Source organism: Homo sapiens, chromosome 9 (assembly GCF_000001405.40).
Source record: "Homo sapiens chromosome 9, GRCh38.p14 Primary Assembly".
In the NCBI taxonomy this organism is placed as follows: domain Eukaryota; kingdom Metazoa; phylum Chordata; class Mammalia; order Primates; family Hominidae; genus Homo; species Homo sapiens.
Window position 1 is genome coordinate 131874046 of NC_000009.12, and position 26947 is coordinate 131900992.

A 26947-nucleotide genomic window follows, 5' to 3' on the forward strand; every position below is an offset into this window, starting at 1 on the left:
CCTGGTGGAGCAAAGGAGGCCTTGCGGACCTGGGTCTCAGCCGCATTTCCCTTCAGCCCCCACCTTCCATGGCAGCAATGCCGGCTCCTGGAGGAATCCGCCTCCCGCCCCAACACGTTTTCCTGGCGCACGTCTGTGCTCAAGTGGCCCCTCTGCCTGGAATGTTCCTGTCAGGCTAAGCCCTTCTCACCCCTCAGGACTCAGCTCAGGGTCTTCCCCATCCCAGCCTTGCCTGTACTCTCAGCAGCATCCTCTGCACACCCCCGCCGGGCACTTGCCAGACCTATGACCAGATGCCCCTGTCCCCCAAGCTGTGCTCTCCTTGAGGCCACACCTGCCACATCTCCATCCTCCCTGGGCCTAGCTCAGGGCCTCCGAGAGGACTGTGGCTCAGCACTGGGTACGGCTCACCTTGCAGGAGCCTGAGTGAATGGGAGAGAAAGTGGACAGGAGTGTATGTATTGATTTTCAGCCACTGGGGAAAGGGGAGCGGAGTGAGAGGGAAGGGATGGGGTGGAGAAGCAGAGGTGGACACTGCCTGGAAGGTGGGGCCTGGGCAAACAGGGAAACCCCAGGATAGACACGAGGGAACTTTCCAGGGTCCTGACCGCCTTCGGCGTCTGCCGAAGGCCCTGTGCGTAGCTGCGAGGAGACGCGCTGGGTCTTTGACCTTTCTCAGGATTAAGGAATTAAGGCTTTTCATTTAGATGAAAAGAAAAAAGTTCAGTGCTTTCCAGATGGTAAAACGTCAGTTTCTGTCACTGGCTGCCAGGAGAGTCCAAGCCCAAAGACACCTGAATTGTTCTGCACCCACTTGGTGTGATATTATTTTCTGTAGGAACGGCCCTGCAGTCAGAGAAACATCCAAAGACATCTGGGCTCCCAGGAAAACACAGACAATACCACCTACTTCTCCATCAAACTTGAGGCAATGACTGGAGAAGAATGCAGACTGCAGAGCTGGGAGAGAGACCCCGCCAAGAGGCAGCTCAGCCGCCAAGGTGCCAGGCGCCCCAGCCACCCCTGCTCAGTGGGGGAAACGGGAAATTGGGGCACAACATCTCAATCTCGGGTGCCTTCTGGAGATCACTGGTTGCGCCACTGGCCCTCCCAGGACCCTAGGGACTGATCCAGTTCCTGGACCCAGGATCCTGCCTACATCAGCATATCAGGGCTGCCCACAGGGCACTGCTGCGCGGCTGTAACTGTGGTGTCTTACAGGATCTTCAGCTCACTTTGTGACCAGAAGAGCAGATAACATGCCTGAAAAAATGAGAAGGCAGACAATGCTTTGGTGGGAATGGGTAGGTCTGTCATAGCAGCTGGGTCTTGGGTTGACTTTACACACGACAGCTGGGCACAAACCCAGGTCTGTCTGACTCCAGCCTATACCCTGAGCCACCGTGTCCACTGTGGAGATATGGGAAGCACAGATGGAAGGGGTGGTCACTGAGGAAGAGGCCTGCGGGAGGAAGCCTGCCCACAGGGGATGGAGGGAGAACTTTCTCAGGACAAGAGAGTGTCACCATTGACAGGCACTTCAGAGAAGTTGACCAGGTGGTAGACAAGACATTCACCTTACACTTCATACCTACGAATTCAACTTCACACCAAGTCTGTGGGGCAGCTACTCTCATGGCTCACTGCAGCCTTAACCTCCCACACCCAAACCATCCTCCCACCTCAGCCTCCTGAGTAGCTGGGACCACAGGCACATGCCACCACACCCAGCTAATTTTTATTTTTTTGGGGAGATGGGGTTTTGCCATGTTGCCCAGGCTTGTCTCAAACTCCTAGGATCATGATCCTCTGCCTCGGCCTCCCAGAGTGCTGGGATTACAGGCATGACCCACGCGCCCGGCTGCGTCTCTGTTTTACAGATGAGGAAACTGAGGCAAGTGAATCCACACAGGAAACAGTAGGGGAGCCGGGACCTGATGACACGGCGAATGGCTCTTAGCCACTCTGCTATGTGGTCTCTCTCTGGGATGGTCGCTGTGGGGAATGTGGTGGGAGGTCAGCCTGGGCTTAGAGAGCGGATGGGTGGGGGCCGTCCTGCCATGCTGGCAGCCCATGCATGGAGTTTACAGCCCTATGGGCTGAGGACGGAGACCTGGGGAATGGGAAGGTGGGCAGTCTTTCCAGAAGCAGTTTTCAGATTTTGACCTGAGTACACTGCAGCCCGCACAACCCTTCAGGAAGAAACAAGCTATACAGATGACAGATGACTACTCTGTGACTCCTCTAATGGCAGAAAGCCACAGACCACTTCCAGGGCAACGCAGCGTGCCCTCAGAAAGTCAACAGGATGGCCCAGGCTTTCCTGGTTCAATTTTAGCCATAAAACTGGGTTCATGTGAGCTCCTGGGCCATGCTCACACTCAGCAGGGGCTGAGGGAGCCTTGTGCAGGAAAGGTACTGGGGCGGCGTAAGAGGAGAACAAATGATCAAATCTGTCCTGAGTTTAGTTTAGATGCTTATGAATATTCAAACAAGACCATTAAGAGAGAAGGTGGCGGTAAAAGGGTTTTCGACTGTTGGATTAAGCCTAACGACCCTCCCTGCGGCTCTCAGCTCCCAGAGCCCCGCGCCGATGCTTCTGCTTGGCGACCTGGTCAATACAGTCCAGCTGTCAGCTGAGGGAAGGGCTGCCCTCAGGGATGCCCTGGGACCGTCTGCCGCCGCTCCTTCCCTGAAGCCTGTCGCCAGCCCACTAGCGGGCTCACGCACAAATCTCTTGGGCATACCACTCATCGGAGTCATGGACAGAACTTTGTCTTGCTACATGAAGCGGCCCATTTCCCTTTGCAAGGATGAAAGCTGTCCCCTCAGTTCTATCTGTTTGGGACACACTTGTGAGGCAGCAACAGAACGCACAGAAACAGATGAAAATGACACCACATTCTGTCCTTACAACATAAGTTCTCCCTGTTGGAAAAAGTTAATCACCATTTAAGAGGCGGGGAGATGGTCAGAGGGCTGAGATCTATAAAAGACAGAAGGGCCTTCAACGACTCTGGGAGGCAGCTCCCAGCTGTGGAGTCCCTCTGAGTGTGGGGGTCTCACCTGTGCAGGGCACCGAACAGGGAATGGGACTGAGATCTGGCCTGAGGTCTTAGAACTTTTGTCACAACCATGGCCTCTTCCAGGCCTTCATCTGTGGCATTTGAAGAGAGGCTTTGGGAAGGAAATGTAGAGGAGGCTGGTAGGAGGAAATGTTAGAAACTGAAAATAACGCGGCTGGGCACAGTGGCTCACGTCTGTAATCCCAGCACTTTGGGAGGCTGAGACAGGTGGATCATTTGAGGTCAGGAGTTCAAGACCAGCCTGGCCAACATGGTGAAAATCTGTCTCTACTAAAAATACACACACACACACAAATTAGCTGGGTGTGGCAGTGCACACCTATAGTCTCAGCTACTCGAGAGGCTGAGGCAGGAGAATTGCTTGAACTTGGGAGGTGGAAGTTGCAGTGAGCCGAGACCACACCACTGCACTCTAGTCTGGGCGACAGAGTGGGACCCCGTCTCAAATAAATAAATAAAACAATGTAATGACTGTTTATGGAGCCTCTTTAGTGGTGTGAAACACTGCAGCGGCACCACACACCCAACTAAGGTGTGCAGCACAACCTGACTCAGAGGAGGGTGACGGTTCCAATCCCTGGGGAATGATCCCATGTTGAAACAGTTTCCTTCCCTAGGAGTTGGAATGAGCGATAGGTTAGGATTTTTGAATACTATTGGGGTTGGTAGTCAATTTACGCTAGGTACTCCACGTACCCACCAACGCAATATCAGGTGTCCACCCACTTTTCAGAGAACTGAGTCTTCTAGGGCTGACTCAATCTCTTTTACTGAAAAGCACCTGGTGGCCACCGAGTAAACAGACCTTGATCAAGTCTGCCTCAGTTAGGGGCCAGTCTTGCATATTAAAAAGAATGAACAGGCCGGGCGCGGTGGCTCATGCCTATAATCCCAACACTTTGGGAGGCCGAGGCAGGTGGATTACCTGAGATCAGGAGTTCAAGACCAGCCTGGCCAACACGGTGAAACCCCGTCTCTACAAAAATACAAAAATTAGCTGGGTATGGTAGCGCATGCCTGTAATCCCAACTACTTAGGGGCTGAGGCAGGAGAATTGCTTGAACCTGGGAAGTGGAGGTTGCAGTGAGCTGAGATTACACCACTGCACTCCAGCCTGGGCAACAGAGCGAGACTCCATTACAAAAATAAATAAATAAATAAATAAATAAATAAATAAATAAAATAAAAATAATCAACTAATAAATGAACAAAGGAATGAAGAAGCAAGCGGCACCCTGCCCAGAACATGACCCACCATGCACAATCCATTTGCTCACAGCTAAAAGTTCAGACGGTGCAGAACTGAAAGGGTTACTCATCCCTCTGCAATGACTGTGGATGGAGAGCTGGACATCTGCGGGCTACTTTCATGCTGTCCCTTACCTCTGATGAGAAAGCTGCAAAGTGTGTGTGGGTCCCTCTTGGCCTCTCTCTTGATGTCCCCTGCCTAACCTGGGTGGTACACACACTCCACCTCTCTCTCCAGCCACCCTAGCAAGACAATGCAGTGAGTAGCTGTCGGTCTGCTCTTACTCTCCCTAAATTGCTGGATGAAAATGCACAGAGTTTTGAAATGAGGGGGTTAAAGAACAAAACAGTGGCTGCCCCTGCAGAGTTTAAATGTCAGAAAAATATGAACACGCTTGAAACCTTTCCTGGCTCTTTGTGATTCTGCCCTTTCAGATGGTCACCCGCCCCCACCCCGCCCATTTCTAAGTCCCATTCTCTGAATCTACTCTGCTGGAGACTTGCTGGCTATAAAAAGCTTCTTCACCCTAGGACCAAGTGCAAGGAGCCTCCAGGGACCACAGTAAATGATGGGAACCTGTTAGCAGCCATAGACCCATAGCAAGCTGTCCCCAGCCCTCTGCTACTTCCACACTTGGGTAAGGGGTCTAATGAGGAAGAGTGAAAAGGGCTTGCTGATGGCATGAACATCTGCAGACAAAAGGAAGGCAGAATTTTGCTTCCTGTGGTGGGATTTGCTACAGAAGCTCAGGTGCTCAGGCTGTAAGCCAGCGGGTCAGGCACGGGCCTGAGAGAATGTGACAAGGGCATGCTTCCATTCTCCTACCTCCTGACATTGTTTGCCAGAAATAAAAAGGTGAGTGTTAGCTTGGTTTGGCTCTGCAAGGCAATCCCCCTACCCTGTCACACTGAAGGAGACCTCAGGGTGGGCACGGGTGGGGGGCGTGGCTTCCTGCTTTCCGAGTTCTGCTTTCCCTCGTTCTGGGCTGGCCACAGCTGCTTCTTGTGGGCAAGAAAACAGGCCTAACACAGTGACTGCAACCACATAATGAAGGCCTAGGAGAGGGAGCTCTGCGGTTCTACCTCAGCTAGAGCAGGAGGAGAATTCCTCCATTAATGCCATGTGAGCTGCTGCTGGTGGCCCAGAACTCCCATCTCAGAGGTGGGCATAGCTGTGGCACCTCCCACCACTGTCAGGACATCTGGGTACTATCTTCAGCCTGAGCAATCTCCTCTTCTTGATGACCAAGGAGCATCCTCCAGCATGTCATGCTGCTCCCCAATGCACTTCATGCCACTGCTGCAGGCTGAGCTTTTCTGGATGATGCTGGGAACGAACCCCACCCTCGCCAGTCGACTTGGCTGGGTGCAAACAGGCAGAGCAGGTGGAAGATGTCTGCCGCAGTGCTCCCAAACAGCGTCTTTCTGGGAAACACTACAAGCAACATCAATCATGACACCCCATATATAAGTGGGTGGACAGGAGGAAAATAGAATCTTGAGGAATAGCAAATCCTAAAAAGCGGAGTTTAGAAACGTTGCCACCGAATCCTTCTCTTTTGGTGATTTAGGTTTGAAATACTTAACGTCACCCCATAAACTGTGCCAGGTCTCTGAATCTGCAAAGGACAACGTGGTCCCACCTCTGCACGTAGTGCAGGGCCTGGCAGTGGCACAGGGAGGTCTACCTGCTGGCCACTGAGATGAACACGACGAAATAGGCACGCCAGTCACCGCCCTGGGATGGAGGCTACACCGCGCATGCTTCGTGCTTTCTACCGCCATCTCCCACAAGCTCAGTGATACAGAAACAGGCTTTTTTTTTTTCTAACAAGATCCCAAACTCATTCTGTGTGATGATGATTAGTTGAAGGCTTTATTGATAAAGGATTAAGCTTAATTCTGTACATTATTTTCCAATATGTTTCCTTCATTTGACAGCAAATGGAAGACATTTTAGTTAGGAAGAGAGAGGACTCACTAATTTAATTCTTACTTGTCCCTGAAAAAAAAGGACTTCAATGTTATCTGCCTTTAGTTGTAATCAGAAGGCACTACCACCTCTCCCAATTGTGGTTCTTTAATCTGGTACAGGTCAATATCAGAGGTTAAGTCCACTTAGTTAATAATAGGTGAAAGGAGCGATGATAAAGGAATCTCAGAAAGGCTTCTGCACAAATACACATGATATGCCACTCACCAGTGAGATAAAATTCCCATCCCTTAGAATTCATCAATTTTTACTACTTGAAACGTGTTACACAGACTGGAAGGAAGGAATTGGCGGATGCTCCTAAATCTCTCCAACTAGACTAATATCAAATTTTAAACACTTCTGCTTCAGAGTGTGTTTGTAATTTTAAATAAATACAAAGAGTGCCTGGCAGGTTATTTTCAAGGGAGGTAGGATAAAAATACAGTACTGTCTTTCTAAATCTATGCTTCACCAAATCTGTGTTTTATACATTTTACAACTTCCTAATACACTTTCTGCTTGCATTAAAAAATACTTAATACTACAAGAACATTAAAAAAAAAAAACATGCAAAAGTGAGCATGTGCAAGCCCCTCCCTCATCAAGGGTATTGGAATGGAAATGGACCATTGTTAAATACCAAGTTACAAGCTGCAATGCTTACAGCCCTCAAGAAGTCATCATTGGCCTTTTGTGGAGACTGGAGGAGGGAACTCATTGCAATACCACAGAGGACATGAAGATAAGGACCAGATTGAGGGGAAAAGCTGACCATTTTAATGTTCTTCACTATTAAAGCAAAGCAAGACAAGGATAATGAGCAGCATTCTTTCTCCTCAGAATATTTTTCAACCAGCCACTGGGGGAAAAATGACAAGGACAGTCAGCACGGAAAACGTTAGCATTGAAGGCTGAGACTTTTTGCATGCGAAACAAGTAAATACCTCTGGTATGGTGACTTAGGTAAGAACACTAAGATGAGAAATGTGCTTCCCTGCACTAAAGCCTGTGCGTAACCACACCCTTCCTTCCTTTATGCTTCAGACCCAGGGACCAGGGAGGAAGAGAGAGTGGGAGGAAGGGAGGGAAGGAAGGAGGGAGGGAGGAAAGGAGGGAGGCTATTTTCTTCATTACATTTCCAGGGAGCTCAGTTGGGTAAAGGGTGTTAGAAGAATCAAGCTATGATTTTCTTTGTTAAAACTTTATTTTAGAGCAGTTTTAGATTTACAGAAAAGCTGCAAAGATGCAATAGACAGTTCCCATGTCCCTCACCCCGTTTCCCCATTGTTAACATCTTCCATTACTACGGTACATTTGTCACAACAAAGAAACCAACACTGGTTACTCACTAATAACTGAACTCCAACCTTTATTTGGATTTCACCAGTTTTTCCATTAGTAACCCCTCCCTCCCTCCTTCCCTCCCTCCCTTCCTTCTTCTTCTTCTTTTTTTTTTTTTTTTTTTTTTTTGATGTAGTCTTGCTCTGTCACCCAGGCTGGAGTGCAGTGGCTCACTGCAACCTCCCGCGTAGCTGGGATTACAGGCGCCCGCCACCACGCCTGGCTGATTTGTGTATTTTTAGTAGAGACAGGGTTTCACCATGTTGGCCAGGCTGGTCTCGAACTCCTGACCTTGTAATCCACCCACCTGAGCCTCCCAAAGTGCTGGGATTACAGGCATGAGCCACCGCACCCGGCCCCATTAGTAACCTCTTTCTGTTTCAGGATCCAATCCAGGGTAGCACATTGCATTTAGCTGTGATCAGATCATGAATCTGTAATGCTTATATAGGTTCCCTAAATGTGTGGTTTTCAGCCTCAGACTACTCCCCTAATCCTAGACGCCTGTCCTCTGCCTAGCCCTTATCACCAAAAAGGGGCCCAGGGGGCACTGTGGATTATGTACAGTAAACACCTCTAGAGGGTGGTCCATGACGCCCCTCTGATCCACTAAGTCCTATGCTCACTGCTCAATGCACACCAGATTTTCTTGTGGGGTAAGGAAATGTTTTAGAACCAGACAGAGGTAGTGGATGTACACTATTGTGAAGGCACATCAAGCCAAGGAGCATTCACTTTAAAACGGTTAATTTCAAGTTATGTGAATTTCACCTTGATCTACAAAAGAGTCCTGTGCTTCCTGGCACACTGTGGACACAACCATTCTTCATCGTGGGGATAACTCGGACCAAGCTTTCAAAATCACATCCCCCTCTGTGTAAATCCCGTCAGTGGTTTCTCACTGAATTAAGGATAAAATCCGAATTCTGCACCAGGGCCTAGAGGCACCTCCCTGACCTGAGCCCTGCCTTCTACCTCCACTTCATCCCCACTTCACGGGGCTGGCTCCTCCTCCTCACACTGCCTGCCTCAGTTTCCCCTACAAAGGCTTCCTCTGACTAGCCTAATCAGAAGGAGGCCCCCTTGTGTTTCCTGGCCACAGCCCCCAGTTAATCACCTGGAGTCATTTGTTAGGCTTCCTTGCCTGTTGGAGTTTCCTCTGTGGCCCTGGCACCTAACAGTGCCTGGCACAGAGCAAAGGGGCTCAGTGGATACTTTTTTTTTTTTTTTTGAGATGGAGTCTCATCTGTCACCCAGGCTGGAGTGCAATGGCACAATCTGGGCTCACTGCAACCTCTGTCTCCCAGGTTTAAGCAATTCTTCTGCCTCAGCCTCCTGAGTAGCTAGGATTATAGGCGCCCGCCACCATGCCCGGCTAATTTTATATTTTTAGTACAGACAGGGTTTTGCCATATTGGCTAGGCTGGTCTTGAACTCCTGACCTCAGGTGATCTGCCTACCTTGGCCTCCCAAAGTGCTGGGGAGTGGACACCTGTTGTTGAGCTGGATGAGGGAATGAATGAGATGATGGCCAACTCTCTTATTTCACTACTGGATGAGACCAGAGACAGAAGATGGATGAGAACAGAAGAAGCCGGCTGCTGCCCTGCAGGGAGCTGGCCCTGAGTACTGTGGGGACTGGTGGGGGTGTGGCGGTGGGGACAGAATCCTCATCAGCCACAGGGCCTGAGTTAGTCCAGGGAAGGGGCCCTGCACTGTCAGGAGCTGGGGAAATGAATTTTCTCTGGTCACTTTTCATTTCGTCTGACATTTCCCATAACAGTTTTTCATAAGGAAGCCCAATATCTGAAAAAGATACAGTGTCCCCAGAGCACAAAGTGGGGAAGGGGCAGGGTGAGGGAGTGCCAGCCTGCTTCCCTTGGCCCATCCCTTGGGCACCAGTGGAGACCGCTAGGGCTCTGAGAAACCGAGTTTTAAAACTAGGTTTTCAGAATACAGTTTTTGGAACATCTCAAAAACCTATGGTTTTCCTAAGGTATAATTTACATACAATATGACTGCCCCTTTGTAGTAATATAGTCCTGAGTTTTGACAAACATGTACGGCTGTGTAACACCGCCACAATTAAGATAAAGAATATTCCCACCACCCCACACTCCCTTGTGCCCCTTTGGGGCCAAGTCCCTGTACCCACCCTTAGGCAACCACGGATCTGATTTCTGTCCCTAAGGTTTTGTTTTTTTCCAGAATGTCATACATATGGAATCAGACAGTGAGCATCCTTTTCTGTCTGGCTTTTTTCACTTTTTCAAAAGCCTCTGATTTGAGACCAATGTTTAAACCTCAAAGCATTCACGTTTTCCTAATGCCGCTTGAGTAAGAAGCAAAAAGTAAAACTTACCTTCTGGAATACTTGATAGTTGGATTTGGACCATATATCAAGCTGAGGGGAAAGGAGAGAAGGATCATCAGCATCGGTCTTAGAATTCGGGACTTCAAGAAATAATATTGTAACTACTGTTAACCCTTCTTAAACTTGAAAAAAAAATCTGATTATAGAATAATAGGATCTCAGGGTTGAAAAGGATCTTAAATGTCTGACTTAATTTCTTCTTTATCCATTTGTAGGCAAGTTAAGAAAAGTCAATGAAGGAATACAGCAAGTCACCTTGAGGCACCTGCTGCTTCCAAGGCTCCTGCAAGCTGAGCCCCTGGCTCACTTTCAACTTTGATTCTCACCACGGCTCTTGCATATCTCAATGCCAAGGTCAATGCTGCCTCAGGCCCTTTGCACTTGCTGTGCCCTTTGCCTGAATTGTTTTTCCCATAAACCCCCATGTGGCTCTTCTTATACTCCCTTGAGCTCAAATGTCACCTTATCAGAGAGGCATTTCCCAGTTACCTTATCAAAACATTCTTTCCAGTACCTGTTACCTTGATTCTCTTTACTTTTTTTTTTTTTTTTTTTTGAGATGGAGTCTGGCTCTGTCACCCAGGCTGGAGTGCAGTGGCGTGATCTCAGCTCACTGCAACCTGCATCTCCCGGGTTCAAGTGATTCTCCTGCTTCAGCCTCCTGAGTGGCTGGGACTATAGGCGTGTGTCACCATGCCTGCTTAATTTTTGTATTTTTAGTAGAGATAGGGTTTCACTATGTTGGTCAGGCTGGTCTCAAACTCCTGACCTCAGGTGATCTGCCCCCCTTGGACTCCCAAAGTACTGGGATTACAGGCATGAGCCATTACACTGGACCCTTTTTACCATTTCAAAATTTAAAGTTTTCATAATATTTAAAACTGCCTGAAGCTCTATTATTTCTTTGTTTACTTGTTTCCTGCCTGACTTGCCCACAGGATGGAAGTTCAGTGAGGACAGGAGGCTTGCCTTCCTTCCCACTGCCTCTCCAGGTCCAGAAATGGGGTCTGGCATGTTGTGGGCATCAGTAGGTCTTTTCTGAGTGGAGGAAAGCTGGCAGCATCCAGCTGCTGAGCACCTGTTCCATGCCAGGCACTGCACTAGGCCCTCCACACACACTCATGTAATCCCCAGAACTGGCCCATGTGACTGGCCCCATCACAGTCTTATTCTCCAGATGGGGAAACAATAGCTCAGAGCCTTTCATGAGCCCAAGGCTATCTGGCGAGGCATCTTACAGATGGCCTCATCTGGTGGTGCTCAAATCCTGGCTGAGCATCAGAAGCCCCCGGGGGAAGGTTTTTGTTTTTTGATATACAGATTGCTCAGTTCCTCCCCTAGAGTATTGAATCAATGGCTGGAGCGGGCCCAAGAGCCTGTTCCATTGTTTGTTTTGTAGCCCTGCTCCCAAGGGTAACTGACGCCCGGCTGGTCAAGAGCCCCTGCTCTAGGGCACCCCTACTTGACGAATGAGGAAGCTGGAGGAGGTGTGAGTTGGCATGTGGGTAGGGCTCACAGTAAACCCAGTCCAGTCCTCCTCTGGTCACACTTGGTCACACACAGGGTACTTCAGTAGCTCATTCTAACCAAAAACATTTTGGTTTTTACTGGTTTGCATGATATACCAAATCAATCCCTTCTGTTTCAACAAATCAATGCCTTCTGTTTCAAGAGTTTAGAACAAATTAAGTATGGCAAAAATAGAACTACCCACAATACAGTGCTGACAGAGACGGCTCAAGGGCAATGAGGAAACGAGAAAGCCATCACTGTGTCCCATAGGTGCTAAAAAGTTGACTTTAATATATGAATTCAAGAGTTGAGTGAATGGAACACCTGGTCAATGGGCCTCTGGGAACCTGCCTTGGGGGTTGGCCAGCGGTCAGGTAGAGCCCTGGGCCATGGCGGTTTAGGCCTGTGTGGTGTGTGATTGATTTTGGAACACCAGAAAGCATTGGGAAGCCATTGGACAGGAAAAGTCCTTTAAGAAGACAGGACAGGATGTGTTGCATTTGACCCAGGACACTTCAGAGCTCTGTGTCTATTCTGCGGAATACACTGAAACCTGGCTTTCTGAAAACAGTGCTTGGAAATTAAAAGCAGGGCTGTGAACAGGCATATACATTTAGTTCTCCTGGCTTTTCCCTGTTCACAATTAGTTTCATGAAAATTTCACTGTGTTTGAAAACTTTTAGGACAGTAGAGAAGGTTAAGATGATTCTGAGGAGGCCACTCTGTACTTCCGCAGGAGAGGAACTCCATGAGTTCAGCTCATCGAACTCCATGACAAATCATGGAGGAGCTTTCACTGATCAAGCATTCATTCAATAGGAAAAATGAACCTCAATCACCCACTTCTCCCTACCCCCACTGCCTGCACCATCTCCTTCTTGCATTGCCACAAAAACCCTCAACAGATCATCCTCCTTCTACTCTGGCTAAACTGCTCTTCAGAAAGGTGGTGTCAATTGCCAGTCAGTGCCCCCCACTGAAACCACTGGATGGAGTAAGAATTTTAAAGATCTTCCAGTGCTGGAATTATAATGTGACAGCTCAACAATTTGCAAGGGGAAAAGTGACATGTTACCTCCAGATAACTCTGAGGGAAACCTCAAAAGAAACATATGAAATTAATTCCCCACATTATCAATTCTGTTGAAGAAAACTACTGTTGGGCAGCTGGTCATATTTGGGAGGATAAATCGGGTTCGTATTACTTTCTCAGTGCCGCAGTTTAGCACAGGGCTTAACAAATGCAGCATTTAAAGATTATTCAGGGGTTGCAGGATGAATAAGAATGACTTTTGCATCGTTTAGTTGTACCAAAATTACTGCCAAGATGACAGAGAGAAGCCAAAGATTCCAAATCTCAGTTTTAGGAAGAGGAACACCGATGTCTGAACTTGGAACTAATATAGTTCTCCTTCCATTTTGAGCCCACAGCTGTTTCTTCTGAACTTCTTCACTGTTTACCCTTCCTGCCTGCTTACATCATACATAAGCAGACCAAGACATAAACACAGAGCCAAGAAAAACAGAAAAGAAGAATCTGCTACATTAAAAAGTTATAGTTTTTATTTAAAAGTTAAACATATTTAAAAATCCTTCAGTATCTGCAAAATGTCTTAATTTAAAAAAATCTAGAGAAAAATATGCATTGGTTTAATGAAAACATGGCCTCTCCAGCCTCATTGTGGATTCTCAAAACACACCACATTTATTCAAAGTGAGGATGATGCTCTTTTTAAAAGGTTTAAATGTATTATTCAGGACCCTAGGGAAAAGCTCCTACCATCTGGGACAGAAGGACCTTAGATAATACGGTCTATTTACCTGGTGCGCATGGGTGAAAAAGGGACCCCTTAACCATAGGGCCCTCTTTTGCTAGGAGTGCACAGCAGGTGGTTCGTACTTGATTTTCTGCTAGATTTATGCCAAAGAAAGCCAGAAATGAGCATTCTGGAGTCAATGCCCTGCCTCTCCTCAGGGCCAGGAAGATTTCAGAAATTCATTTCAGGGAGCCAGGACTGATCCAAGTGAATATTTATTAGCTTCAGCTTATTTACTGCAGAGGCAGACATGGCTACCAATTCTTTGCTGGCTGCAATATTCAAAAAAGGAGCATTCTGGAAGCTGCAAACCTTCAACCTGATGAACAAGAAATTATTCTGAACTATAGTGTCAGGAAAAAGAAAGCGAAGCACCCTTCAGTATTCTGAGCAAGCATAAGAAAGATCTGAAAACACAAAAGTCAACCTTGTGGTAATTGGTGGCTGAGTCTGCAGTCTCAGGAGCAGCCTCCTGGCCTCTGGGGATTGCAGTAAGTATTTTAAGGGTGGGGTGTGGTCTGTTCTCAGGTGAAATGAAAACAAACCTTGCAGATGACCAATTGCTTCAGCACAGACACGTCTGTTCTCAGGGCAAACACCAAGACATCAAAAGACCTCTTGACACACAGGAAGAACTGGTGAAAATGGTGACAAATCAAATTTATTCACTGACAAGAACAATCAGAGCGACCCAGTATCAGCAGGCAGGTGATTCTGTCTGCAATGCTGACCACCACCACCACCTCCATCACAACCAGCAAGGGCGGATGCCATTTACTGATGAAGATGACGCATTCGGCCTGCCCTTTACCTGCGTTACTTTTAAAATCCTTTTGGCAATAACATGAGGTTGATAAAACCATTTCCAATTCACAGATGAGGACGCTGAGGCTCAGAGAAGTTAGGTGACTTGTCCACCATTGCATAGTTAATGCGAGGTGGGGGAATTTGAAACCAGGTCTGTGTGCAGAGGCCCAGCTCTTACCCTGGGAGGAAGAGACTGCCTTCCAGTTAGACAGCAGGCAGGATGCCGGGGCTGCGCGCTCCCTAAGCTGTCACTTGCGCAGCTCTTCTGGGAGCATAGTTCTGCTTTGAGGCCTGCTGCTGTGACAACCACTGCCACTAAAATTCATGTAACAGCAAGTGAACATTTTGGCAGCTTATCAGAAAGTTATCAATACTTCATTTCAAAAAACAGTGGAATCGATTCAAAATTATCTAAATAAAACTCGTAAGCCACACGAGGTTCCAACTTTTAGAACCTCTATTTAGTAGCTTCGTCTTGCAAGGTGAACAGGTGATAGGCCTATCAGTTTGGGTAGAATGCTGCAAACCAGCTATGGTGACGGATCTCTCCATGTTGTTACCCACATTTTCCAAACCATAAACTTCTATGTGGTCACCCTCTCAAATCTGCTGACCCTCCCCAGAGAATAAGAGTGAACAAGAGCCTCACCCAAGAACACAGTGTTACAGGTCTATTATTCTTCAACTTTTCACTTTCAATCAGGACATGCATTTGTTACTAAAAAACTGCTGAAAGCACAATTTCAGGGAATCCTCTGCATATGAATTAAACTGGATTCCCCTTTCCCTGGCTTTCACCCTTCCCCCTAGAAGTAACAAGAGGCCATTTTTCTGAAGGTCATCTGAACAATTTCAAAGGCTATAACAAATCAAAATGTTCCCTGCATCTGATATCAAACAGGGCTGATGCCAACACTTATTAGAGAAATCAGATTCAGCTCCCCACCCCCTCGACCCACATGCACACACACAGCCAACTTTGAAGTGGGAAGAATGCAGGGATCAGAAATTACCCTGGAGACAGCTCTGGCTGTCTTTGAAGGTTTCCTTTGATACCACCATTTCTTTTCCTCTCTTATGCTCGGAGGCTAAAAGCTGCCTTTTTTATTGATATGGGGTAATTAATGAAGCTATAGCATTAACATAACCTAAATCCCCCAAAAAGTTAAATTCGAACGAGACACATTTTTTTTTCAGTTAAGTCTGACTGGTATAAAATCAGGACAATGGCCAGGTATTCATCTTCAATCCTGCCTTTTAACATGCTGAGTCGTGGCTCTTGCTACTCCCTGAGTACAATGAATAAGTGGTTGGTAAGTCTGAAAAGCATTTTTATTTTATTAGAGGAATCAGGCTATTGGTCCTTGGTATCAAAAATATGCATTGCAGGTAAAGAGACAGGATGCTAGGGTCATGGCGGTGGTTGTTAGAGCAAAGTGCAAAGTGCAAAGTGATAGCCTTGCTGGGCTGGATTCTGATGGGGAAAAAACCTGCAAGGTCTGGAAATTAGGGGTGGTGCTGGGCCACTACAGCAGCAAGAAGGATAATGAAACTTTCGAATGTGCTGGTTGCTTTGGGCTTGGAGGACAGAGACAACCGCAGAGGCAGAAGTTAAGCCCATAGGAGGCTTCCTGAGCCACACCCAGGGCCTCTGTGGCTGTGCTCCAGGAGACTGCAGCAAAACACCCCCCTGCAGCCACCTAGGCACCAACTCAGCAAACGCAGGCTGCGTCCCGGGAGCAGCGACGTCTCCAGCAACAACGTGCTCTTGTAGAACACATGTCAGGCCCCAAGGGCTCCTTCCAGACGCCACATTTCATTTGGGATGTGCCAGACAATTCAACACATTAATTGCACTAATGCCTAGATTGTATATAAATAAAGTACACACACACAGAGTACTCAAAATAGAGCACTAATAATGTCTGCATGGTTTATTTTTATCATTTGTGAAGTGCTCTGAAAAAAAGGGGCTAATCAAATTGGCTAGGATGAGATTCTGAGTGGAACAGTCATTTGAGAGCTTCTCTGCCAAATGTGGTCAGTGTGTCCTTAAAATAACAAAGAGGCCTGGTTCTCTCGGTCTTGCAATTTCCACTTTTAGGGTCCCTGCTTAAGCACTGCTTGGGCCAACGCATACAGTTGTAAAGGGGGACGCAAGGCTTCCTGTCCAACCACATTTCTGATGTCAACCAGGGTCCCAAATGTACAGCCATTTTCCTTCGGAGAAAGAGAGAGGCCGGGCTAATCTCTCATCAGGAGGGCCTGAGGTCTCCCTTTACTCGTGTGTCTCCTTTATCCTCTGACTTATTTACAACTTCAATTACTGCCGCTCCTTTTAGTCCCCATTTCTCATTTTTGATTCTCCACTTTCCATTCCAGCTTAAGCATTTTCATATCCCAAGTAGGCTTTTTCATCATCTCCTCCCAGACAGGACTGGGCTCCTACCGTGCTCCTGGCACAGAAGTGCACCCTACAGACAGACAGTCACACGATGGAGCCTGTGCCCTTGAGGAGCTCCTGGTAGATGCAGGATTGAGATCCAGCCCTGTGTGGCTGTGGGCAACGTTACCATTCTAGGTCTCAGTTTCTCCATGTGTAAGATGAGTCTAAGAGCAGCACCTGTCTCATGATGCTGTGAGGAGGATTCGACAGCCACCGTGGGCAAAGTTCGCTTTGTGCAGTGCCTGCCTGACCAACGTATGTTAGTATTGTTAGTATTTTTATTAATTGCAAGATGGACATGTAAATAATCATGATGCACCAATTCTAGTACTAGGAAAAGATTGTTCTGAATTCTATGGGTGTATGGATAATGATGATAACTCTGTGCTGTAAGGAGAGGCAAACCCAGGTCGGCCATCTCTAGAGCCCATGTTCATAAGCAAAGAGGCTCTTGGGAAAATGGAGACAGGATGGGAAGGAAGATGGCATTCAGCCACTGTAAAGGGAAGAGTAAAACTTTGTCAGCTGGACTAGGAGGGATCCCAGGGCAAAAGGCACAAAACGTGCAAATACGTGAAAGAGTCTGGCATGTCATGGAAGCTACAGGGAGCACGCGGCTGGAGATAAGATGAGGTGTGTGTAGAGAATGATGCCAGATGAAGTCAGAAAGGAAGGCAGAGGCTGCGCCATGAGGCATTTAGACGCCTTGCAGAGGAGTCTGGATTTTATGCTACAAGCCAGAGTTTTCAGAAGTATATTCTACAAAATGGCAATGTCACAATATGCTCTAAGAATAAAAGAAGATAAAAAGAATTTGGTGGCCAAATAAGTTAGGAAAATATTGCATACTCTCTACTCCCTGTAAGATATTCATAAGGCACATCAGCAAACTGGTTTCCACAGTAAAGAAACCCACTGAACTTTCTCTAACCCAGAGTTTCTCAAACTTGTTTGACCATGCATTGCTTTCTGCCTAACATCTATTAATATCCTACTTTCCTACTTTGGGGAGGGCTGCTTTGGGCAAGGGGGAGATGGCAAAAAGAAAGAGAATCATCCGCTCGCATGTGTATTTTAGGAAGACAGCTCTGGAAGCCAAGTGAAGGACAGACTGTGAGGGAAGCAAGACTGGAGACTAGAAGTGAGGCGGTGCGTGCATTCTTCAGTGCAGAGATAATGAGAGCCGGAGAGGAGCGAGAGGGGTGGAGAGGGATGGGGGGCCCAGTTTGAGAGTTACTTAAGAGGGAGAACTGCCAGTAATCACTGACAGCCTAGACCGGCGGGATGAAGGGAAGAAAGCTTTAACCAATTAGGTGGGGGTACTGTTAACCAAGATAAGGAAAAGAGGAGGGAAACTGAGTGTAGGGAGAGAGATGATGAGTTTTGTTTTAGACAGGCTAAACTTGAGGAACACGGGAAGTCTGATCTAGAAACAAATCATGAGTGATCCTTGTGTGGGTGACATGGATGAGAATGGCCAAAGAGAATGCGCAGAGGGAGAAGAAAACTCTGGGAAACTGGGAAGTCAAGGGGGAAGACAAGAAAGAAGGAAGTAACTGGAGCAGCTGAGGAGGGGCGATCAGAGGTGTTTTGGAAGCACCATACCTCTGAGACTCTATATTTCAAGACTGTTATTTTAAGTTAGAATAAAAATAATACTAGTTATCATTTACTGAGTATTGACTAGATGGCAAAGTGCCAAGTGCTTTATGTGTACTACTTCAGACACTTTCAGTAAGGGGCAATTAAATAGAGTGTTAAAGGTATCATGCAAAGTAGGTAAATTTCCACTCCTTCTTATGATCTCAATTCAGAGCATGCTTCATTTGCACCCTAAGTTTGGTAACTCTAGTAGCACGGTCCTGATTATGACTCACCTTTCTACGTATTTGTTCTTCAACTCTCCAATTCGTTTGTAAGTCCTTGGCAAGCAAGGGCTATGTTTTGTACCAGGAGTGACTATGAAGTTGTCAACTTTGAAAAAACCCAACAAGAATGGCATCTCAAAATGCCACTGCCCATGGTCTCTGCGAGGGTATACACTACCCTCAGTGCTGCCTCTCCTGCTGACCAACAGTGTGGAACCTTCTGGAGCAGCTGTCAGAGTTTACAAATCAGACGCACAGACTACACCTGACTGATTACTCACTTTACATGCATGCTCCAAAGACATTTGGTTTTTCCAAAAAGAAAAAGGAAATCTCCCCTCAATGAATGATTTGGTATCAACGAGGAAATTTACGAGAACTGGGCACAGTCCTTGGAGCAGGAGTTGCATCCCACGTAGACAACACTTGTGTGGAATGTGGAAATGCTGGGTTACTTGTTCAAAACACACATCTCATTATATCACGGGCTGTGCTTCTTATGTAACGCCCTGCTATGTGCTAAGCCACAGTTACCACCTTTTTTTGAAGAACATTCTATTCTCATTATAATGTGGCTGTTGGGTGGTGAGTGCTAGTATTCATACTAACAAACTTTTACATTTTAATGAGAGTCATGAGGAAGGAAAGGCTCCCGATGGGGTGGGGAGACCAGGCTCCGTGCTGAGAGTGGCCTGGAAGAGTGTGGGGCATCTCAGGCACGGTGTTCATTACACTCTGGTGCAAACACAAATGAAGGCTGTCAGCTCCCATCAGCATCCTCTGATGCTCTCTGTGGAGCCATATGGAGACTGTGCAGTCAAAAGGAATTAGGGGTTCACAAGGGTGAACTTTCCATGAAACAAGTCACCCGTGGAAATAACACGTCTTCTTTCAACAGCAGTATTCAATATATGCTGCTGTGCACAGCCACTTCCTAAGGGCGACTTGTTAGTTTTGTGGAAAAAGAGTGTCATCAGGTTGTGTCAAATGAATGGGAATTTTCCTCGTGGTTCTAGGAAAAGCAAAATGCTGAACCTTGGGCTACTGAGGAGCTGCTTGACTTGGGGAAAAAAATCCATTTCCTCAGAAGACACATTTAATGAGGCAACTGGGGTCTAAGGTGATAAATTAGAAATTCAACTAAGGGCATCAGGCTTAGAGGAAAAAGCAGAAGCTTGATGGAGAATGCAAGCAGAGAGAATGAAATGTTTTTTCACAAAGTGTGCATCCTCACACTGACAAATCTATGTTTGCTGATCATTTCCGCTATGATTGCTAGTTTTTAATGCCATTCATCTGGAATTCGACTACACTTGTTCTGGGATACAGAAAACCAAGGAACACACAAGACTGCACAATGCTTACCTTGCCATCTTCTGTGTAGACATTCTCGTTATATCCCTTTACTATTGTTCGATCAATGAACAGGCTCCGCATGACGACGATCACTTTCAACACCTTTCCCAAGGTCACCTGCCAAAACACATGTAAGCTGACACTTGAACACGCAAATCACACAAAGTTGGGCAGGGGTGTGAGAAGAAATGACCACCTGGCCAATCCAGTGAGACTGGATTCATGGTGCTGGCCCTGTGGATCCTCCAGCACTGGAAAATGAACTCTCAATAACAGCAAGTTCTTTCTGTGATCACTGAAAAATGTTTTGGGCCTCAACTCGTCTAACTTCCCTAAATTTATTTATATTTTTGGCTTACAAACTCTGAGGATAAGTTTCATATGTTTACTATCTGCTGGAAAAAGTAAAATCCTTCCCTTTCCCATTTTAAGATTTTCTTTTTCAAAGGCGAGGATTCTACAATTCTGGCAATTATAGGATTTAGTGAGCACGTTGTTTCGTGCTCATGGCCCTATGTATACCTATGCAATATGTACAGAGTACAATATACAGAGCAAAGGCAAGTACCAAATGCCTCTTGGTTGAACTATCTATTTATAGTAACTGGTAAAAGTGGAAAAGCAATACCAAATAAAGTCAGGAGGTAAAAGGAAAGTAGCTGAATTTTATCTTCAAAAAAGAAACATGATCCTGGAAATACATTTAAGTGCTTTTACTCTCAGAACCTAAGCACATATTATACATTAAAAAAAAAAATCCTAAAAAAAGTGCAGTTTCATGTATGCCAGGGAAAAAGGAACCTGCTGTGCTTGCTGGAATAGGCTCAGCACCAAGAATAGAAACAGCACCTTCCCTTCTTTAGGGACACTATGGTGTGGATATGGCTGTTTCCCCCCATCAAAACTCAGCTTGAAATTTTATCCCCAATGTGGTGTTGGGAGGTGGGGCCTAGTGGGGGGTGTTTGGGTCAAGGAGGCGGATCCCTCAGAAATGGCTGGGTTCATTCTCGACATACTGTGTCCCTGCTCTGGCAAGACTGGATCAGCTCCCTCGAGAGTGGCTTGTTATAAAGCCAGGATACCCCTTGGGTTTTGGCCTTCACACGTGTCTGCCTCCCCTTAGACCTTCCACCATGTTGCGATGTTTGTGATGCGGTGCAACACAAAAGCCCTCGCCAGACGGTGAAGCAGATACGGGCATCATGCTTCTTATACTTCCTAACCAGCAGAACTGTGAGCTTAATCTCTTTTCCTATAAACTACCCAGCTTCATGTATTTGGTTATAGCAACAATAAACAATATACGGATGAAGACGAGGGGCTCACGTAACTCTTCTAAGACTTTGCTAAAGCTTTTCATTTCGTATATGAGAACCTGGACGCAGACCCCAGCCTGGGACCCACCCGCCCATAGTGCGAGTTGCTCTGATGAGGTTTTGACGTCACAGAATTTGCTGAAAGGAAGCCCTGCTGAGCTGCCTAAGGTAAGAGCCTTAGCCCCAGATGGCAATCCTGATCCTTCAACTCCGACCTGCCGTCAGTTTCTGGGGATGCCACCTCTAATCACCCCTTCCTTATATCCCCATTCCTTGCAGTTTTCCAACTGATCATCCTCAACAACAACCTTCCTCTTTCCTTGATTAGTCCTGGGTATCAGTGAACACCCCCAACGTTTGATTCCTTCAATAATTTCAAGCGTTAGGTTGATAGCTCTATTTCTGTATACTTTAAATAGTACTGAATACAAACATGGTAAGAAAAAACATTTATTTACATTTAAGGGACTGCTAATAAAGGCATCCTATTTCTGTATAACACTTTTAAATATTGTCACACCATGTAATGTTCAGTGGGTCTCTTTATTTTTTGTTGTCCTATGTCCAATCAATGGGTCATTTTTTTGTGTTACTGAAAATCCCTATCTAAGGATGCCAATAAACCATGGAGGTAGAGTGAGTAACTCTGTCTTTAGTCAACATGGAGCCTACTGGAAGAAAGGGAGGGAGGGAGAGCAACTGAGTTATAGTTGTTTTTTTTTTTTGAGGCGAAGTCTTGCTCTTTCACCCAGGCTGGAGTGCAGTGGTGTGATCTCGGCTCACTGCAACGTCCATCTCCCAGGTTCAAGCGATTCTCCTGCCTCGGCCTCCCGAGTAGCTGGGACTATAGGTGTGCACAACCACATCTGGCTAAGTTTTTTGTATTTTTAGTAGAGATGGGGTTTCACCATGTTGGCCAGGCTGATCTCAAACTCCTGACCTCAAGTGATCTGTCTGCCTTGGCCTCCCAAAGTGCTGGGATTACAGGCACGAGCCACCACGCCCGGCCAAGTTATAGTTTTGTAGTTACAGACACTGAAATCGATACCTTCTCACTAGGCTAAAGTGAATGTAGGTCCCACATGTTCTCCACAGCTCTCCTCTGGAAGGGCCACTGTTTGTAACTGCACATTTTAACTTTCTTTGCTAATAAGCCTAGGTGACTAAGCAATTGTTTCCTGAAACATCAAAACCTGGCTGATATTAATTAAATAATAAATTGCCTTTGTAATTTAAGTTTCTTAAGATGGATTTTAGAAATACATACTAATAACACCAGAAATTTTATATTCAAATTTTTTTCTATTAAAAGTTAATTTTGGTATTTTAAAGTTAACTAATACTTAAAAATATAAATGTTTATTATGGAAAAATCTAAAATTAGAGAACAAAGGAAGAAGACAGTTGTTCCTGGTCTTGAGATGGAAAGATAATCACCATTAACATTTTGGGGTACTTCCTTTCAATCATTTTATTATCAAAGGCTTATGGTTTTTGAATTTCTAACATCGTTATAATGAAACTATATATATATATTTTCTTTCTTTTTTCTTTTTCTGAAACAGAGTCTTGCTCTGTCGCCCAGGCTGGAGTGCAGTGGTGCCATCTCGGCTCACTGTAAACTCCGCCTCCCGGGTTCAAGCGATTTTCCTGCCTCAGCCTCCTGAGTAGCTGGGATTACAGGCGTGCGCCACCACGCCCAGCTAATTTTTGTATTTTTAGTAGAGACGGGGTTTCACCATGTTGACCAGGCTGGTCTTGAACTCCTGACCTCATGGTCCGCCCGCCTTGGCCTCCCAAAGTGTTGGGATTACAGGCGCAAGCCACCACGCCCAGTCATGTATATTTTCAAATCAAATTTTTCCTTAAAACTATGACAAGTATTGTTCCATACTGCTATATAGTCTTCACAATCAGTGTTGCATTGCTGCACGACATTCTACTGAGAGGATATCCTATAATTTCTTTAACCATTCTCCTATTGGTGGACATTCGGGTTACTTCCAAGTTTCCCCTAATATAAATATGGCCACAGTGTATATTTTTGTTCACAAAGTTTTCACCACATTTGGAATTATTTCCCTAGATTTGCAAAGTCATAACTACTGTGGCAAACAATACAAATATTTTAAGGCTTTTGATATAATCTGCCAAACTGCTAACCACAACGGTTATGCCAACCAGAAAGGTATGAACACACCTATTTCATTCTGTTCTTGTCAGCGATGGGCACTACTAAATCAAATCAAAACTTATGAGACTGTTGGAAATCTGAACACTGAACTACATGCTTGATAATACTGGAGCGTTATTATTGTATGAGATGTGGGTGTCATGGTTCTGCTTATGTGCTTTTGGAACCCTTTGAGAAATACGTACTGAAATATCTACAGATGAAGTGATACCATGGCTGTTATTTGTTTCAGAAGAGTAACACAGGGAGGGAAAAGGAGGTGGAGGTGGAGGTGACAAGATTGGCCAAGAGTTGGTCATTGTTGAAGCTGGGATGGGTTCATGGGGTTCTTTGTACTATTTCATTTACTCGTGTATATGTTTTTAAATCTTCCATAATAAGAAGTTTTTAAAAATCAATTAAGTTGGCACTTTGGGCAGGGAAGGGGTTTGTTGGATTTTACTTTTGCCACTTTATTACAAGTCTGCTCGTATCAGGATCCAAATATGGTCCACACAATGTGACTGGTTGACATGTCTCATAAGTCTTTCCCAAACTAAAGAGATCCCCCTCCCAACCCCATGTCCCCATTTTATGTGCTGAAGAAACTGGGTTATCTCCTACAGAGTTTTCCACAGTCTGGATTTTGCTGGTGGCATCCCAGTGGTATACTTTAACATGCTGCTCCTTCCTCTGTATTACCTGCCAATTGATAATTAGATGAGATGCAGGTTTGATTTTTTTTTTTTTTTTTGGCAAGATGACTTCCAGGGCTATAGTAGTTTATGGATAGTCAGTATGAAAAGTCTTGCACTGGCTTACTTTTGGGATCTTCTGAATCCATAAAGCTCTATGAAGTTTGTCAATTCTTATTTATTTATTATTTTTGAGATGGAGTCCTGCTCTGTCACCCAGGCTGGAGTGCAGTGGGGTGATCTTGGCTCACTGCAACCTCTGCCTCCTGGGTTCAAGCGATTCTCCTGCCTCAGCCTCCTGTCACCACACCCAGCTAATTTTTGTATTTTTGTTTAGTAGAGACAGGGTTTCGCCATGTTGACCAGGCTGGTCTCGAACTCCTGACCTCAGGTGATCCACCCGCCCTCGGCCTCCCAAAGTGCTGGGATTACAGGCGTGAGCCACCGCGCCCAGCCAATTCTTATTTTTTATAGAGCCAAAAAAGATCCTGGTGCTCATCTAAGTTGAATAGGCATAGAATTATGGCTTTATGCATTTTTTTTTTTTTGAGATAGTCTCGCTCTGTCTCCCATGTTGGAGTGCAGTGGCACAATCTTGGCTAGTGCAACCTCCCTTCAAAGTTCAAGCGATTCTCCTTCCTTGCCTTTTCTAGTTGCTGGGATTACAGGCGTGTGCCACCACGCCCGGCTAATTTTCATATTTTTAGTAAAGACAGGGTTTCACTATGTTGGCCAGGCTGGTTTTGAACTCCTGACCTCATATGATCCTCCCACCTTGGCCTCCCAAAGTGCTGGGATTATAGGCATGAGCCACTGCGCCCGGCCTGGATTTTTAACATGGTAATAATATACCCAGTTTTGAAGCCTAACATTTTGAGGCTTTAGAATCAGGTCTCGGCTCTGCTGTTGGAAAGCCTGGCCTAGCTACCTACCTTCTCTGAACATCTAAATGGAGATAATGGCACTCCCATCTCAGAGTGACTGTGAGGAGTCAGTGAGACAATGCACAGGTGAAGGGGATGGCACAGGGCCTGGCACAGGGAGTGCTCAGTGGCAATGCTATTGTTACTTGGCCCAAACCCCTGTTTGGACTTTATGGAGGTGAAACGGTTTGAAGCCAGTTAACGTCAAAGCTGGAACCAGAACTGCTGCTGTAGCCAGGTCAGTGAACTGGCTGACCTGGTCCTTATGTTAATTTTCCCTCCTGCTGTCACAACTGGGGCTACAGGAAGCTGAGAGGGGGTGACAGTTGTGCTGGACCTGAAGGATGAATAAGACTGTGGGGTCTGCTGAGCGACCACTGAGCAGAAAGTGCCTGCAAGCCTGAGGGTCAGGCAGCCAGACCTCCTGGCGGTGGCCATTTGGTGTGCAAATCAATTGCTCCTACTCTCCAGCACTGTGCTTCAGGCCCTCATTCTCCACTTGCAGGCAGTGTGACCCAGGGCAACTCAGACAACCTCTGGTGCCTGTTTACTCAGCTGTGAAATGCGGTGGGACCTTTTGAGGAAATTGAAGGAGGCGATCCATGTAAAACTTGGGCCTAGGGGTGCGGTGGACAGCAAAGCTCAATGGCTGTTAGCGTCCTTTCTCTTCGGAGTGTGGTGCAGCAGGAAGGGTAACGTAACAGGAGCCCTCCTGGCTCTGCCATCGAGATGGAGCCTGGTGTGCGCTCTCTAGCAGACCTTCCAGCCCTCACATCGCTCTACAATGATTCCGATTCTCATGTGTCTGGCATGTGCCAGTTTCTAACGTATCTGCATGCACCAGGTTGTAGTGACCTTGAACTTTTTGATAGACTGATAAAGAGATGCAGCACATAGAGGCCAATGGGCATCTTTCCACAAACTAGCCAATGCTGGTCACAGTCAGAAGCAAAACGCCCACCGACGGGGGCTACAGGTCGGCTCTTGGCAACTGCTATAGGATACCACTAATAAAAGCTAATGCCATCTGGTAATGAAGCGAGCTTGCTGTTGCCAAGGTAACACTTTTCTATACCAAGCAGCACATTTCCAAAGAGCTTGCTCACTACTCATGGTAGAGAGTCAGGGGAGGCACTATGTTTCCTGTGCAGGCATCAAGGTGCACTTGAAGAGGAAGCCCAGCCCGCCTCCCATCTGGCCATCGCCTCCCAGAAGTGCATTTATAAAACCTGCCCCTGCCTAGCCCCCCCATCAGGTCAGCTGCACTCTGGGCAGCGAGCGGGGGCCGAAACCAGTGGTCTTCTCTATCTGCTTTTCCAGCAATCGCCTGCCAAGCTGTATTCCACGAAGAGAATTTCTAATCCACTGTGGCAAGGCAAGTCACAAGACAGGAAAGGAAAAGTGGGAGGAAAGTAGAAAAAGTATTTAGTTCAGCTCTGCCAACTGACGTCTAACAAAAACCTAACAAATCTGGTGGTTGAAATGATATCTCTACTGCCTGACCATGTGAGCTGAGAAGGTGAGAGGAGCTGGTCACTTAAAATGATCTTCCCCCAGAACTCGTGTAGGGGGAAAAGTGCTTTGAAACTGAGCGGTATCTGCATCTAGGATCAGGGGAGGTGAGCTGACCAAAAACTTACCTGCACGAGGAACCCGGGGCCAGATAGCATCCCCAACCTGGCAGAAAGCATGTGTGTGGGAGGTGAAGGGGGATAGTTCAGGGGTTTGTCAGTTAGACAAATGGTGGCATGTCTAAGCCCTGCTTTGGGGAGGGGAGTGTGTTATTAAAAAAGAATTAAAAAGAAGCCAACTATTTATGTAAAACCATCCATGAATGTTATTTTCTGTATACAAAATAAAAGTCTGATATGTAGGCGCCCTTAAGGGATCTGTTGTAATTTAAATGATGTTTTTCCAAGTACAGCAGAAAGAAAGAGAGAGGGAGAGGGAGAGAGAGGGAGGGAGAGAAAAAGAGGGTAAGGGAGAAGGAGGGAAGGAGAGAGGAGAGAG

The 26947-nt window shown here is 46.4% G+C and overlaps 1 protein-coding gene across 5 annotated transcripts in view, besides 3 other annotated features; it reads right to left on the bottom strand.

Moving 5' to 3' along the window:
• The window catches only part of MED27 (mediator complex subunit 27), a 219756-nt gene that overhangs the window by 13934 nt on the left and 178875 nt on the right, over nt 1-26947 (bottom strand). For 2 of the 5 annotated variants that reach the window (XM_017015329.2, XM_017015330.3), the window contains exons 5-7: nt 19840-19947; nt 13899-13988; nt 10013-10054 (exon numbers count right to left, since the gene is read on the bottom strand). In XM_017015329.2, the coding sequence (XP_016870818.1) occupies nt 10013-10054; nt 13899-13988; nt 19840-19947 (240 nt within the window). The remainder of the gene's footprint in view (nt 1-10012; nt 10055-13898; nt 13989-19839; nt 19948-26947) is intronic. The other 3 variants (NM_004269.4, XM_005272236.4, NM_001253881.2) reach the window with 2 other exon arrangements.
• Nucleotides 2683-3183: an enhancer, noted in NCBI's record as "H3K4me1 hESC enhancer chr9:134752115-134752615 (GRCh37/hg19 assembly coordinates)". NCBI's record gives its function as "activates a minimal SCP1, AML or CMV promoter by ChIP-STARR-seq in primed H9 embryonic stem cells {active_cell/tissue: H9 hESC(primed)}" and the evidence as "EXISTENCE:reporter gene assay evidence [ECO:0000049][PMID:30033119]".
• Nucleotides 15335-15866: an enhancer, noted in NCBI's record as "H3K27ac-H3K4me1 hESC enhancer chr9:134764767-134765298 (GRCh37/hg19 assembly coordinates)". NCBI's record gives its function as "activates a minimal SCP1, AML or CMV promoter by ChIP-STARR-seq in naive H9 embryonic stem cells {active_cell/tissue: H9 hESC(naive)}" and the evidence as "EXISTENCE:reporter gene assay evidence [ECO:0000049][PMID:30033119]".
• Nucleotides 25237-25531: a silencer, noted in NCBI's record as "tiled region #801; K562 Repressive non-DNase unmatched - State 23:Low". NCBI's record gives its function as "represses a minimal TATA promoter and a strong SV40 promoter by Sharpr-MPRA in K562 cells {active_cell/tissue: K562}" and the evidence as "EXISTENCE:reporter gene assay evidence [ECO:0000049][PMID:27701403]".